The 17580-nt window shown below is 38.8% G+C and overlaps 1 protein-coding gene across 1 annotated transcript in view; it reads right to left on the bottom strand.

Annotated features, from left to right (window-relative positions):
• CCDC15 (coiled-coil domain containing 15) overlaps positions 1-17580 on the bottom strand; it is an 87288-nt gene continuing 69708 nt past the window's right edge. The window contains exons 14-16 of the mRNA NM_025004.3: positions 2886-3059; positions 2421-2569; positions 1-900 (exon numbers count right to left, since the gene is read on the bottom strand). Of these exons, the coding sequence (NP_079280.2) occupies positions 779-900; positions 2421-2569; positions 2886-3059 (445 nt within the window). The 3' untranslated portion in view covers positions 1-778. The remainder of the gene's footprint in view (positions 901-2420; positions 2570-2885; positions 3060-17580) is intronic.

Here is a 17580-nt window from a genome sequence, read left to right as displayed (position 1 = left end):
TTCATACCAACTATGGCAATTTTTATTTCATTTGCCCTGTAGCCATGTCATATACCAGGTTTTTAAAAAATAGGGAAATAAGGAATTTACTCACTTTGACTTCAGATTCACTTTTTCAAATGTCACTCACAATTATTTCACATAGAAGATATTCAAAAGACAAAGGATTTATTTACCCTTTTTGCAACAGAAAATTACACAATTAAAAATTCCTATGTCCAGTGTCACTGAATGGGGAAAGAGGCAATACATTTTAAAAAACAAGAGGAAAAAATGCTGAGGAAAAAAATGTGCAACAAATCTAAATTCTTCTAATCTTGAATTCTTATATACAACTAGAAAAGGTAATGGCAATATAGATGGTCTCTGATGCTCAGAAACACATTTCATCACTTTCTTTTCTGCTTCATCCAGACATTTTCAGTACTGTCAAGCTCAAAAACACAGTTTTAGAAAGATGATAAATAAGAGAATCTCAAAGACTTCACATGAGCTCTTCTGATCAGAGCAGAGCAAAGTAAGAGAAGCCTTACTTGTCTGATCATATTTTAAAATAATAGGCTCCGTATGGTTCACAAGACAGAAGAGAGAAGTAAGTCAGCTTTCAATCTTGGTTCCCAGACAGAGATTAAAACAATGATTACAATCTAATTATTATATGAGACAGTATTTCTTCCCAGATTATATATTTTATAACTTGAACAGCTTTTCTTAAATACTCTCTCAGGGATGATTTTAAGTAAAAGCCAAAATACTACCAGTTAATTTCAGATTCTTATTATAGATTTTTCAAAGTCCGCCTGTGTGCAGAAGCAAAATTATGAATTGCGACTCGAAGAGTTGAATTACCCCCAGGGACATCACAGGAATTGATGAATGAATGTAGTGCCCGAGTATATGCTGCAAAAAAAGGTTTGCACAGCAATGAATAAAGTCAAATTCTAAACAACTCTACCAGCCTCTATCTTATTAGTACTGCTTCTCTACCAAGAGTCTTACAAGTAACTATCTATTGAATAAATATTTATTCAGTACTTACTATATGACAAGCACTCTGTGAGGACAGAAAAAATAATAAAGAGTATGGACACAAAAATAATTAAGTTGCCATGTAATACTTCCAAACCAAAGGTATATACAAAATGTCATCATAGGCCAGGCACAGTGGCTCACACCTGTAATTCCAGCACTTTGGGAGGCTGAGGCAGGCGGATCACTTGAGGTCAGGAGTTCGAGATCAGCCTGGCCAACATGGCAAACCCCCGTATCTACTAAAAATACAAAAATTAGCTGGATGTGGTGGCACAAACCTGTAATCCCAGATATTCGGTAGGCTGAGGCGCTTGAACCCAGGAGGCAGAGGTTGCAGTGAGCCGAGATCGTGCCACTGCACTCTGGCCTGGGCGACAGAGTGAGGCTGTCTCGGAAAAAAAAAAACAAAAACAAAAAAACAAACAACAACAACAAATGTCATCATAGAATGAAGTTGGGAATGAATGCACAACTACCTAGGACAGGATGGCAAAGATTCCCAGAAGTGGTTAACACTTAAGACGAGTTATGAAGAAATAACAAGAGTAAAGGAAAGAACACAGAGAACTGAGTGTGAGGTGCAAAAGGAGTAAACAATATGGCACATACTGGGAATAGCAACTTTGATAAGGCTAGAGTAGGGCCCAGAGCCAGAGAGAAAATATACCAAACATGCCATGCATCTTATACTGCAGTGGGTAGCCCTAGAGGTTTTAGAATAGGGAAATGGCATAATTAGATTTGTGTTTTTTAAAATAAAGCTGATAAGAAACTTGTATTATACAGATGAAGCACTAGGAATATATATACTGGCAGTATTCCTAGTGTATACATGAGGGCTACATAATCTTTATACTATATAAATCAATATATTTAAGGATGGATAGGAAACAGAAATATTAATGACAATATGAAGGACTAAGTTTTCTCTAGCTGGGACTCCTGATAGAGTTTATACTGTTTCTTATTTTTCTCAGTGCCTCCTGGCAGAACTAGCAATCTAATGTGGATATATATGGTAATACGTCCATGTTACATACCATTAAAGTATTTGAGTAATAGGGAATTCAACTGGATAGAGTCCTAACTTACATAAAAGGCAAATTCTAATAGTCTTCAGTTAAAGGACCTGAAACTCAAGACCTCCTACAGTAGAATGAGCTGAAAATATTTCCCCAGCATAAATGGAGACAAGAAGATAACAGATCTCAAAGAGAAATATAACTCATTATAATTTTTTCACTGCCTCATATAGTTATTTTGTAAAGGGTTTATAACAGTCTCTGATACATAGTAAGCACTCAATAAATGGTAAATTACTATTACCACTACTCTTATTTATTTTTCTTGTTGCCATTAGGCCCTGACTATTCCTTCAAGAAACTTACCTCTGTGGTTTTTATAGAAAATACAGTTGTTGGCACAGGTATCAGGATGAGCATCCCAAAAATCAGGACCACAACAGCATAGTGGAGGTAAAGTAATATTATACAGCTGCATTTTCTCCTGGATTTGGGCTCGTAAAGCTTCTACATATCTGTACAAATAAAGTATAATCAGGCAAAGTGAACTATTAAAAAGAAAGTGAGTATGAATCCTGATTTTACAGCCAGATTTAACTGTTAAATCTATTCCGTATCTCTGGGCCTTGACATTTCCTCTTTGTACTGGGAAAAACGCAGGGCTACACCCAAGAAGTATTAGGCAATCAAAAAATTTGGTGAAGTTATGAACTCCTAAATGAGGAAAAGTATGAAAAGACACAGTCAATTCTCTTCTAAGGAAAATGAGAACAATGAGTTCTACCAAGTCTCTTCTAGAGCCAAAATATCATGAAGACCTTTTCAAATTACCTCAGGTATTCTTTTTCTCTCTGTTGTTTTTCTCTGGTTCCTTTTATTTCTTGAAGTTGTAACTGGGCTAATATCTCACTCAACTTCTCTCCTGAATATGGATCTTCATGAAAGTTCATTCTTAGGATCCTCTGCTCTGCAGCATAACATTCTTGCTCTCTCTTTTTCTTAATTCTGAAAATAAAATCATAACATGGTTAGGAATTTCATAAAATTATTATTTAAAATTAGCTTCTTTATCCAAATAACTCCCAGAAATTCCCAGAAACTAAGGAGTCAGGAAATCAGTTTAATATCCCAAGAATATCCTCAAAAATTTCTGCTGGCTGCTTTATCTCCTCCCAAAGAGAAATGAGCAATGGCTACTATTAAAAGAGTTCTTCCTGGCTAGGTGCGGTGGCTCATGCCTGTAATCCCAGCACTCTGAGAGGCCGAAGCAGATGGATCATATGAGGCCAGGAGTTTCAGATCAGCCTGGCCAACATGGTGAAAACCCATCTCTACTAAAAATACAAAAATTAGCCAGGCAGTGGTGGCACGGGCCTGTAATCCCAGCTACTCAGGAGGCTGAGGCCAGAGGATCACTTGAACTCAGGAGGCAGAGGTTGCAGTGAGCTGAAATTGCACCACTGCACTCCAGCCTGGGCAACAGAGCCAGACCCCATATCTCAAAAAAAAAAAAAACAGTTTTTCTGTAAGAATGTAGCAAAACAGTCTTTTCAGATTGAAACTACAAGTAAACAGGGATTCTGCTTCTGACCAAAACAGAGTAACAGGGACCGCATTTGCCCTCCAACCTTAAACCACCAAAAAAATTTAAAAAGTTTTAAAAAGTACACAAATCAAACAAATACAAGAAATGATGGTTTTCAAGACATTGGACACCAGGTAACAAACAACACTGCTCCTTGACAGATGGGAAACAAGTGAAGTAAACCCTATAACTGCTAGAGATTACTGCCTTGGAAGGTTCCAGGCAGTGGCACAGGGCAGGGAAATTGAAGTGAAGCCTGATGGGCTCTAAGAATTGAAGAGATGGAGTTAAGAGTGCAGAGAGACAAAGGCAGTTAGAGTTCACAGGACAAAGTACCAGAGAGAAGAAAGCTGCCCAGAGACAGCACCCCAGAAATGAACAGAGAGTCTCCTGGTACACAGCAGAGCACTGATTGGTGCATGTATGCAATGAAATAACCTGAGGCTAGGAAGAGAACAATCCAAAATAAAAGAGAACAGTGACTAGAGTCCACCTAGCTCCAGGAATAATTTGTCCTTATTTCCACCAATCAAACTTGAAAAACTTGTATTTCACAGAACATTAGGTAGAGTATTCAGAATGATCTTATCTGAGCAGTAGGGAATAAACACTAGTCCCAGACTGAGTACTGCACCAGACCCACCTAACAAGTTATAAAAGCAAGTCATCAAATGAACTTGACTGTATACCAAAACCAGGTTCAATAATGTAAAGACATCCAGCAACTAACATGGTAAAACTCATAACGTTGGGCATCTAACCAAAGATTACTAAGCACACAAAGAGGCAGAAAAAAAGCCCAGACTCCAGTGAACATCCACAAGCATCAAGACTACTCAGGAAATATGACCTCACCAAAAGAACTAAATAAGTCACCAGTGACTAATCCCAGAGAGACACAGATGTGTGACCTTTCAGACAGATAATTCAAAATGGCTGTTTTGAGGAAACTCAAAGAAATTCAAGAGAACACAGAGAGGAATTCAGAATCCTATCAGATAAATTTAATAAAGAGATTGAAATAATTTAAAAGAATCAAGTAGAAATTCTGGAGTTAAAAACTGCAACTGAAATACTAAAGAATGCATCACAGTCTGTTAATAGTGGAATTAATCAAGCAGAAGAAAGAATTAGTGAGCTTGAAGACAGGCTATTTGAAAATACACAGTTATAGGAGACAAAAGGAAGAAGAATAGAAGAGAATGAAAGTATGCCTATGATACCTAGAAAGTAACTTCAAAAGGGCAAATCTAAGAGTTTTGGGCCTTGAGGAGGAAATCGAAAGATGAGGGTAGAAAGTTTATTCAAAGGGATAATAACAGAAAACTTCCCAAACCTAGAGAAAGATATCAATATTCAAGTGCAAGAAGGTTACTGAGCAGATTTGACCCAAATAACATTAACTCAAGACATTCAATAATCAAACTCCCAAAGGTCAATAATAAAGAAAGGATTCTAAAAGTAGGAAAAGAAACAAATAACATATAGTGGAGCTTCAATATGCCTAGCAGCAGACTTCTCAGTGGAAGCCTTGCAGGCCAGGAAAGAGTGACATAATATATTGAAAGTGCCAAAGGAAAAAGAACTTTTATTGCAGAATAGTATGTCTGGTGAAAATATTATTCAAACATGAAGGAGAATTCAAGACTTTCCCAGACAAACAAAAGCTGAGAGATTTCATCAACACCAGACCTATCCTATGAGAAAGCTAAAGGGAGTTCTTTAATCTGAAAGAAAAGCACCTTAATAAAAAATAAGAAATTATCCGAAGGCACAAAACTCACTAGTAATAGTAAGTACACAAAAAGACAGAATATCAAAACACTGTAATTGTGGTGTGTAAGCTACTCATATCTTGAGTGGGAAGACTAAAAGATGAACTGATCAAAAATAATAATTACAACTTTTCAAGACATAGTACAATAAAATATAAGTAGAAACAATAAAAAGTTAAAAGTAGGGGCATGATGTTAAAGTGTAGAGTTTTTATTAGTTTTCTCTTTACTTGTTAGTTTGTTTATGTAATCACTGTTAAGTTGTCATCAGTTTAAAACAACAGGTTATAAGATATTATTTGCAAGCCTCATCGTAACTTCATATTTGGAAACATACAACAGATAACACAAAATATAAAAAGCAATAAATTAAAACATGTCATCAGAGAAAATCACCTTCACTAAAAGACAGGAAAGAAGAAGAAAGAAGACCATGAAACAACCAGAAAAAAAAGTAACAAAATGGCAGAAGTAAGTCCTTACTTAACAATGATAACATTGAATGTAAATAAACTAAACTCTCCAAACAAAAGATGTTGAGTGGCTGAATAGGTTACAAAATAAGATCCAACAATTCCTTGCCTGCAAGAAACATACTTCATCTACAAAGACACATATAGGCTGAAAATAAAGAGATGGAAAAAATATTCCATGCAAATAGAAACCAAAAAAGAGCAGGAGTAGCTATACTAATATCAGACAAAATAGATTTCAAGACAAAAACTATAAAAAAAGACAAAGAAGGTCATTGTGATGGTTAATACTGTCAACTTGATTGAATTGAAGGATGTAAAGTATTATTCCTGACTGTTTCTGTGAGGGTGTGGCCAAAAGAGATTAACATTTGAGCCAGTGGACTGGAAAAGGCAGACCCACCCTTAATCTGAGTGGGCACAATCTTATCAACTGCCAGCGTGGCCAGAATAAAAACCAGGCAGAAGAACGTGAATAGACTAGACTGGCTTAGCCTCCCAGCCTACATCTTTCTCCCATGCTGGATGCTTCCTGCCCTCCAACATCAGACTCCAAGTTCTTCAGCTTTGGGACTCAGACTGGCTTCCTTGCTCCTCAGCTTGCAAATGGCCTATTTTGGGACCTTGTGATTGTGTGAATTAATACTCCTTAATAAACTCCCATATATATATGAGAGTTTATATATATATAACTATGCATATATATAGTTCTGTCTTTCTAGAGAATCCTGAGTAATACAGATTTTGGTACCAACAAATATTAAGGATGGAGTTCTTTTGTTGGTTTTGGGGTTTCTGGAGTTGGCTGCTAAATATGATTAGACTCCAAAATGTTAAGGACTCTACTTCTAATAGTATGGAGAACACTATGGTCCCTGGCACGAACTGTTTAGAGAGTTATGCAAAATAAATGCATTTGACACTCCTGATTCACTGCTCATGAAAGGCAAGGAGTTTAGTGACCCTGTACATAATAACTTTGACCATATGTGGAGAACCAAGGAACATAATGAAGTTGGTTGGTTGCTCCTAAGTTCACTGGACAAAGTGATGAAAGAAAATGATGAACTCAGGGATGCTAACTCCTGGCTTCAGAAGCAGACACTGAGCCTCAAATCTTCTAAGATTGCCCTGAGTAAGAGTCTTATCTCCTGAAGAGAAAGAGATGAAGCTGTGGAAAACCAGACACAAGCTTTTATCACGCGAGTGGCTGGCCTGCAATGAAAGGTGCATGCACAGCCTTGCCAGGTGTCTACTGTTAAAATGAGGGCATTGATTGGAAAAGAATGGGACCTTGCAACTGGGAATGGGGATATGTGGGAGGACCCTGATGACACTGGGGACACTGAGCTTGTAAACTCTGATGAATTTTTTTTGCCGGAAGAAACAGCTTTCTCATCCCCAGTAGTGGCAACATCCCCTCCCCGACCCACATTCCTATCAACCTTTCCACCTTTGTCTGAGGGGATAAACCCTGTGCTGCCTGAGGCAACAGTGATGGCCTCCCCTGAGGCAGTTGCCAGGCAACATAAGTTGATTCTCCTCAGGAGCTATCCCCAACACCTCTGTTTGCTTCTAGACCTATAACAAGACTAAAGTCCTAGCAGGCTCCTAGAAGTGAGGTTCAGAGTGTGGCCATGAGGAGATGTGCTACACTCAAAAAGAACTGCTTGAGTTCTCTAATTTATATAAGCAGAAATCTTGAGAAGAGTCATGGGAATGGATATTAAGGTGTGGGATGATGATAGAAGGAACATAGAGTTTGATCAGGTGAATTTGTCGATTTGGGCCTACTAAATAGGGATTCTACATTTAATGTTGTAGCTCAGGGAGTTAAAAAAGATTCTAATAGTTTGTCTGCTTGGTTAGCTAAAATATAGCTTTTTAAAAGATGGCCCACTGTGAGCGAGCTGGAAATGCCTGATTTCCTCCCTTGGTTTAGAACGGGATCCAAAGGTATAGAGAGATTGGAATGGTGGAGTGGATTAGTCACTTTAGACCTTCTCATTCCAGCTGGGAGGGTCCAGAAGATATATCCTTAACCAATGCTTTCCAAAATAGATTTGTGAGGGCAACACCTACATCTTTGAAGAGCTCTGTAAGGATTGCTCTTCAAGATCTTGATGTATGCCAGATCTAACAATGGGAACCCCAGTCACTCAACCACAAAATTTAAATGCAATGGAAATAATTGGATCCCGAGATGGCAGGGCCAAGTGGCAGCACTCAACCATCAAAGGCAAGATGGGCACGGCTACCATAATGGACAGCAGAGGCAAAGCAACAATCAGAATCGTTTGACTTATGCAGAGCTCTGGCACTGGCTAATTAATCACGGTGTTTCTAGAAGTGAAATTGATAGGAATCCTACTGCATTCCTACTTAATTTATATAAGCAGAAAAATTCCAGGTCAAGTGGACAAAAGACTAATTTTAAATATAAAAACAGAGAATCATGGCCCCTCAATCAATATCCAGACTGGAGCCAGTTTATAGACTCAGAACCTCTTGAATGAAGGGGAAGTCTGCTCCCCTTGAGGAAGGACCCCACTATACTACCAACAATTTATGCTATAAATCTTTCTCCCATCCTTCCCCAAGGAGACCTCCGGACTTTACCAGGGTAACTGTGCACTGGGAAAAGGGAAACAATCAGACGTTTCGGGGACTACTGGACACTGACTCTGAGCTGACACTGAATCCAGGGGCCCAAAACATCATTGTGGTCCTCCAGTTAAAGAAGGGGCTTATGAAGGTGAGGTAATTAATGGAGTTTTAGCTCAGGTCTGACTTACAGTGGGTCCAGTGGGTCCCCAGACTCATCCTGTGGTCATTTCCCCAGTGCCAGAATGCATAATTGGCATAGACATACTCAGCAGCAGGCAGAACCCCCACATTGGCTGATTGGTAGGGTGAGGGCTATTACGGTGGGAAAGGCCAAATAGAAGCCATTAGAGCTGCCTCTACCTAGAAAAATAGTAAATCAAAAACAATATTGCATCCCTGGAGGAATTGCGGCAATTAGTGCCACCATAAGGACTCGAAAGATGCAGGGTTGGTGATTCCCACCACATCCTCATTCAACTCTCCCATTTGGCCTGTGCAGAAGACAGATGGATCTTAGAGAATGACAGTGGATTATCATAAGCTTAACCAAGTGGTGACTTCAACTGCAGCTGCTGTACCAGGTGTGGTTTCATTGCTTGAGCAAATTAACACATCTTCTGGTACCTGGTATGTGGCCACTGACTAGGCAAATGCCTTTTTCTCCACTCCTGTGCATAAGGTCCAACAGAATCAATTTGCCTTCAGCTGGCAAGGCCAGCAATATACCTTTACTGTCCTACCTCAGGGGTATATCAACTCTCCGGCTTTGTGTCATAATCTTATTCAGAGAGACCTTGATCACTTTCCACTTCCGCAAGATATCACACTGGTCCACTACATTGATGACATTATGCTGATTAGATCCAGTGAGCGAGAAGTAGCAAACACACTGAATTTATTGGTGAGACATTTGCACGCCAGAGGATGGGAAAAAAAATCTGACTAAAATTCAGGGAACTTCTACCTCAGTAAAATGTCTAGGGGTCCAGTGGTGTGGGACCTGTCGAGATATTCCTTCTAAGGTAAAGGATTTGGCCTCTCCTACAACCACGAAAGAGACACAATGCCTAGTGGGCCTATTTGGATTTTGTTGTCGACACATTCCTCATTTAGGTGTGTTACCCCAGACTATTTATCGAGTGACCTGAAAGGCTGCCAGTTTTGAGTGGGGTCCAGAACAGGAGAAGGCTCTACAACAGGTCCAGGCTGCTGTGCGAGCTGCTCTGCCACTTGGGTCATATGACTCAGCAGACCCAATAGTGCTTGAGGTGTCAGTGGCAGATAAGGATGCTGTTTGGAGCCTTTGGCAGGCCCTCATAGGTGAATCACAACAAAGGCCTCTAGGATTTTGGAGCAAGGCCCTGCCATCTTCTGCAGATAACTACTCTCCTTTTGAGAGACAGCTCTTAGCCTGTTACTGGACTTTGGTGAAAACTGAAGGGTCATCAAGTTATCATGCAACCTGAACTGCCTATCATGAAGTGGGTGCTTTCTGACCCATCTAGCCATAAAGTGGGTACACAGCAGCATTCCATCATCAAATGGAAGGGTATATATGTGATCAGGCTTGGGCAGGTCCTGAAGGCACAAGTAAGTTATGTGAGGAAGTGGCTCAAATGCCCATGGTCTCCACTCCTGCTACCCTGCCTTCTCTCCCCCAGCCTGCACCAATGGCCTCATGGGGAGTTCCCTGTGATCAACTGGCAGAGGAAGAGAAGACTACGGCCTGGTTCACAGATGGTTCTGCACGATATGCAGGCATCACCCGAAAGTGGACAGCTGCAGCATTTCAGTCCCTTTCCAGGACATCCCTGATGGACAGACCTGAAGGGAAATCTTCCCAGTGGGCAGAACTTCGAGCAATGCACCTGGTTGTGCACTTTGCATGGAAGGAGAAATGGCCAGATGAGCGATTATATACTGACTTGTGGGCTGTAGCCAATGGTTTGACTGGATGGTCAGGGACTTGAAAGAAGCATGATTGAAAAACTGGTGACAAAGAAATCTGGGGAAGAGTTATGTGGACGGACCTCTCTGAGGGGTAAAAACCTGTGAAGATATTTGTATCCCATGTGAGTGCTCACCAACAGGTGAACTCAGCAGAGAAGGATTTTAATAATCAAGTGGATAGGATGACCCATTCTGTGGACACCACTCACCCTCTTTCCCCAGCCACCTATCATCACCCAATGGGCCCATGAACAAAGTAGCCATGGTGGCAGGGATGGAGGTTACGCATGGGCTCAGCAACATGGACTGCCACTCACCAAGGCTGACCTGGCTACAGCCACTGCTGAGTGCCCAATTTGCCAGCAGAAGAGACAAGCACTGAGCCCTCAATATGGCACCATTCCTCAGGGTGATCAGCCAGCTATCTACCTGGTGGCAGGCTGATTATACTGGACTTCTTCCATCATGTAAAGGGCAGAGGTTTGTCCTCACTGGAATACACACTTACTCTGGATATGGGTTTGCCTATCCTGCACACAATGCTTCTGCCAATGCTTCTGTACTCACAGAATGCCTTATCCACCGTCATGGTATTCTACACAGCATTACCTCTGACTTTACAGCTGAAGAAGTGCAGCAGTGGGCTCCTGCTCATGGAACTCACTGGTTTTATCAGTTCCCCCATCATCCTGAAGCAGCTGGATTGATAGAATGGTGGAATATCCTTTTGAAGTCACAATTACAACGCCAATTAGGTGACAATACTTTGCAGGGCTGGGGCAAAGTTCTCCAGAAGGCTGTGTACGCTCTGAATCAGCGTCCAATATGTGGTACTGTTTCTCCCATAGCCAGGATTCACAAGTCCAGGAATCAAGGGGTGGAAGTAGCACCACTCACCATCACCCATAGTGATCCACTAGCAAAATCTTTGCTTCCTGTTCCCACGATATTACATTCTGCTGGCCTAGAGGTCTTAGTTCCAGAGGAATGCTGCCACCAGGAGGCACAATAAACTGGAAGTTAAGATTGCTACCTGGACAATTTGGGCTCCTCCTACCTTTAAGTCAATAGGCTAAAAAAGGGAGATACAGTGTTGGCTGGGATGACCAACCCAGACTTTCAACATGAAATCAGTCTACTACTCCACAACAGAGGTAAGGAGGAGTATGCATGGAACACAGGAGGTCCATTACGGCATCTCTTAGTATTACCATGCCCTGTGATTAAGGTCAATGGGAAACTACAACAGCCCAATCCAGGCAGGACTACAAATGACCCAGCCCCTTCAGGAGTGAAGGTTTGGGTCACTCCACCAGGAAAAAAACCAAGACTCTCCGAGGTGCTTGCTGAAGGCAAAGAGAATACAAAATGGGTAGTAGAAGAATGTGGTCATCATACCAGCTACAATCACATGACCAGTGCAGAAACAAGGACTGTAACTGTCATGAGTATTTCCTCCTTCTTTTGTTAAAAACATGTTTGTGCATGTATACTCCTGTACTAAGAAAATATCTTCATTTTATTTCTTCTCTCCTTTATCATGTAACATAAGATTTATTGACTTCACATCAGCATTTAAGTATTGTTAACTTTAAGTAATAGTATTTTGGTTGGGGATTTGTGCGTTTCCGGTTGTATGAAGAATAGTTGTATTATGCTAGGCATAATTATGACCTTATTTATGTCTTTATTTGAAGATTACGTATGATCTCAGGAGATGTGTATGGGCTCAAGTTGACAAGTGGTAGACTTGTGATGGTTAATACGGAGTGTCAACTTGATTGGATAGAAGATACAAAGTATTGATCCTGGGTGTAACTGTGAGGGTGTTGCCAAAGGAGATTAACATTTGAGTCAGTGGGTTGGGAAGGGCAGACCCACTCTTACTCTGGGTTGGCACAATCTAATCAGTTGTCAGCAAGGCTAGAATATAAGCTGACAGAAAAATGTAAAAAGAAAGACCGGCCTAGCCTCCCAGACTATATCTTTCTCGTGTGCTGAATGCTTCCTGCCCTCAAACATCAGACTTCAGGTTCTTTCGTTTTGGGACTCAGAGTGGTTCTCCTTGCTCCTCAGCCTGCAGATGGCCTATTGTGGAACCTTGTGATCATGTGAGTGAATAGTTAATAAACTCCCCCTTATATATATTTATCTATTCCATTAGTTCTGTCCCTCTAGAGAACCCTGACTAACACAGTAGTCAAATTCATAGAATTAGAAAATGAAATGGGTCCTAGCCAGAGTGATCGGGCAAGAGAAAGAAATAACATCTAAACTTGAAAAGATGAAGTCAAACTGTCACTGTTTGCTGATGATATGATCATATACCTAGAAAACCCTAAAGACTCATCCAAAAAGCTCCTAGAACTGATAAATGAACTCAGTAAAGTTTCAGGACACAAAATCAATGTACACAAATGAAGAGTACTGCTATACACCAACAATGACCAAGCTGAGAATCAAATCATCAAATCAAGAACTCAGTCCCTTTCACAACAGTGGCAAAAACAAAAAACAAAACAAAACAAAACCACCACCACCAACCTTAGGAATATACTTAACCAAGGGGGTGAAAGATCTCTACAAGAAAAACTATAAAACACTGCTGAAAGAAATCATAGATGACACAAACAAATGGAAACACATCCCATCCTCATGGATAGGTAGAATCAACATTGTTAAAATGACGATACTGCCAAAAGCAACCTACAGATTCAACGCAATTCCCATCAAAATACCACCATCATTCTTCACAGAAATAGAAAAAACAATGCTAACATTCATATGAAAACAAAAAAAGAGCCCACATAGCCAAAGCAATACTAAGAAAAGAGAACAAACCTGGAGGCATCACATTATCCAACTTCAAACTATACTACAAAGCTATAGTTACCAAAGCAGCACAGTATGGGTACATACTTAGTGCCCGTAGTACATACATAGTACAGGCACATAGACCAATGGAACACAATAGAGAACCTAGAAATAAAGTCAAATACATATAGCCAACTGAAGTTCAACAAAGCATACAAAATCATAAGGTAGGGTAAGGACACCCTGTTCAGTAAATTGCGTTGGAATAACTGGCAAGCCATACATAGAAGAATAAAACTGGATCCTCATCTCTCACATTATACAAAAATCAACTCAAGATGGATCAAAGACTTAAACCTAAGACGTGAAACTATAAAAATTTTAAAAGATAACATCAAAAAAACTGTTCTAGACATTGGCTTAGGCAAAGAATTCATGGCTAAGAACCCAAAAGCAAATGCAACAAAAACAAAAAAAAAATAAATGGTACCTAATTAAACTAAAAAGATTCTACACGGCAAAAGAAATAATCAGCAGAGCAAACAGACAACCCACAGAGTGGGAGAAAATAATTGCAAACTGTGCATCCAACAAAGGACTAATATCCAGAATCTACAAATAAATCAGTATGAAAAAAAAAACAAATAATCCCATCAAAAAGCGGGCAAAGGGCATGAATTTGAAATTCTCAAAAGAAGATATTCAAACAGCCAACAAACATATGAAAAAATGCTCAACATCATTACTTATCAGGGAAATGCATATTAAAACCACAATGAGGTATCACCTTACTCCTGCAAGAATGGCCATAATTTAAAAATAAAAAAAATAATAGATGTTGGCATGGTTGTGGAGAAAAGGGAACACTTACACTGCTAGTGGGAATGTAAACTAGTGCAACCACTATGGAAAACAGCATGAAGATTCCTTAAAGAACTAAAAGTAGAAATGCAATTCCATCCAGCAATCCCACTACTGGGTACCTACTCAAAGGAAAAGAAGTCATTATATGAAAAAGACACAGGTACATGCGTATTTACAGAAGCACAATTCACAACTGCAAAAATATGGAACCAACATAAATGTCCATCAACCAATGAGTGGATAAAGAAAACGTGGTGTATATATACACCATGGAATACTACTCAGCCATAAAATGAAATAAAATAATGGCCTTTGCAGCAACTTGGATGGAGTTGGAGGCTATTATTCTAAGTGAAGTAACTCAGGAATGGAAAACCAAATATTGTATGTTTTCACTTATAAGTGGGAGCTAAGCTATGAGGATGCAAAGGTGTAAGAATAATAGAATGGACTTCTGGGGCTTTGGGGGAAGAGTGGGAAGGGGTGAGAAATAAAAGACTACCTATTGGGTACAGTGTACACTGCTTGGGTGACGGGTGCACCAAAATCTCGGAAATCATCACTAAAGAATTTATCCATGTAACCAAAAACCATCTGTTCCCCAACAGCTATTGAAATAAAATAAAATTTAAAGAATAAATAAATAAATACAAACAAACAACATAAAATGGTACCAGGGGCTGGAGGTGAGAAGAGTTGCTTAACAGTTAACAGAATTTCAGATTTGGACGAAGCAGGGCAAGATAGCCAAATAGAAGCCTCCACCAATCATCCTCCCCAAAGGAACATCAAATTTTAAAACTATCTACAAAAAGCACCTTCAAAAGGACCAAAAATCAGGTGAGCAATCACAGAACCTGGTTTTAACTTCATATTGCCAAAAGAGGCACTGAAGAGGGTAGGAAAGACAGTCTTGAATTGCCTACACTACCCCTTTCTCATTCCCCAACAGAAGCCACATGGCATGGAGGGAGAATCAAGGCACTTAGGGGAGGGGTAGTATAGCATTTGTGGGACTCTGTAATGGAACACAGTGCTGCTAACACCAGGCAGAACTCAGCCAGTGGCCAAAGAAGGTGCATTTAGACCAGCCCTAGCCAGAGGGGAATCGTCCATCCAGGTGGTTGGAACTTCAGTTTCAGCAAACCTCACCACCACAGGCGAAAGTGCTCTGGGGTCATAAATAAACTTGAAAGGCTGTCTAGGCCACAAAAACTATAATTCTTGGGCAAGTCCTATTGCTGTTCAGAGCTCAAAGCCAGCTAGTGAGATACCAGCTGGGGCAGCTAAGGGAGTGCAGGTGCCACCCCTCCCCCAACCACAGGGAGCATAGCTCACAGCTCCAAAAGAGAAGCCTATCTTTTGCTTGAGGAGAGGAGAGAAAAGGAATACTCAAACTATACCAAATATTAAAACAAAAATCAGTAAAATAAGAAACACAAAAATAGAAAAATTAATGAAATTATAAGCTAGTTCTTTGAGATGAATAAAACTAACTAATCTTAAGTCAGGCTGATAATGAATAAAGGATATAAATTATCAATACCAAAATTAAGAGGTGATACCATCAGAGACTCTACATATATCAAAAATATAATAGAATATTAAGAACTTTATGCCATTAATAAAGTTCTTAACATCAATAAATATGACATTAATAAATATGTCAATTAATTTGACAACTTAGATGAAATGACAAATTCTTTGAAAGACATAAATTATTAAAGGTAACTCAAGAAAAAAATTGATAACCTAAATGGCCCTATATTAGTGACACTGAAAATATAGTTTTTAAGAATCTTTCCACAATGAAAATCTAGAACCAGATGGATTCACTGCCAAATTCTACCAAACATTTAAGCACTAAACAATGCCAATTTAACATAAATTCATTCAATAAAACTGAAGAGGAGAGAACACATCCCAACTCATCCTATAAGGCCAGCATTACCCTTAAATGAAAACTTAACAAATATATTAGACAAATATCTTTTTAGATAAAGAAAATTGTTAGCCAGTATCTCTCAGAACATAGACATAAAAATTCTACACAAAAGTTTAGCAAATCTCATTACACAATGTATTAAAAGGATAATACATTATTACCAAATGGGTGTACCCAGGAACCCAGAGTTGGTTTAACATTCATTTCTTTCATATATATATATGAAAGAATATATATACTCACATATATTCATATATATACTCATATATATACTCACATATATTCATATATATTCATATATATACTCACATATATTCATATATATTCATATATATATTCATATATATTCATATATTCATATATATATTCATATATATTCATATGTATTCATATATATATTCATATATATATTCATATATATATGAATTTGACAGAATCCACCATCCATTCTTGATAAAAAAAATTCTCAAGAAACTAGGAAGAGAACACTTTCTCAGTCTGATAAAGGGCATGTATGAAAAACTTAAAGCTAACATCATACTTAATGGCAAAGAACTAAATGCTTTCTAAGATCAGGAATTATCCATTCTCATCACTTCTATTCAACATTGTACTGGAGATTCTTAGCCAGTGCAAGCTGGCAAGCAAAAGAAACAAAAGACATCCAGATTTAAAGAAAGAAGTACAACTGTGTTTATTTGAAGACAACATGATCACCAAGTAAAAAACCCACTGGAATCAGTGAGTCCGTAGCAAGGTTGCAGGGAACAGGATCCATATCCAAAAATCAACTGTGCATTTCCATACATTAGCAAGAATCAGAAACAGGAATTTAAAAAACAGCACCATTTATAATAGCACTGAAAATATAAAATACTTGGGGATAGATTTGACAAAAGACATGAGACCCATGCACTGAAAACTATAACATACTGCTGAGAAAAATTAAAGAAGGTCTATATAAATGTTAATGGGTCAGCAGATTCAATATTGCTAAGATTTCAATTCTAAATTTTCCCAAATTATTTCTAGATTGAACATAATCCCAATCAAAATCTAAAAATGCTATTTGTAGAAACTGAAACACTAATTTTTAAATTCACACAAAAATGCAAAGGGCCTAGAATAGTCAAGACAACTCTGAAAACAAAAATTGGAGGGTTAAGACTATCTGATTTCAAGCTTTACTATAGAACTGGACTAATCAGAACCTCATAGTATTAACATAAAGATAGACAAATATATCCACGGAAGAAGAGAAAGCTGGGAATACATGCATATATAGAGATGAATGTACGTATGTATATATAAACACACATATATATGAATGACTCATTTTTAATGTTGAGATACAATTTTCATATCATAAATTTCCCCACCACCATAATGTGATTTGAGAACATTTTTATTATGCCATAAAGAAACCTTATACTTATTAGCAGTCACTCCCACCCTCTCACCTCTAGCCCTAGCAACCACTAACTTTTCTATCTCTGTATCCTAGTTTAGACAT

This window comes from Homo sapiens, chromosome 11 (assembly GCF_000001405.40).
Source record: "Homo sapiens chromosome 11, GRCh38.p14 Primary Assembly".
In the NCBI taxonomy this organism is placed as follows: domain Eukaryota; kingdom Metazoa; phylum Chordata; class Mammalia; order Primates; family Hominidae; genus Homo; species Homo sapiens.
This window is presented reverse-complemented; position numbering and strand designations above follow the sequence as displayed.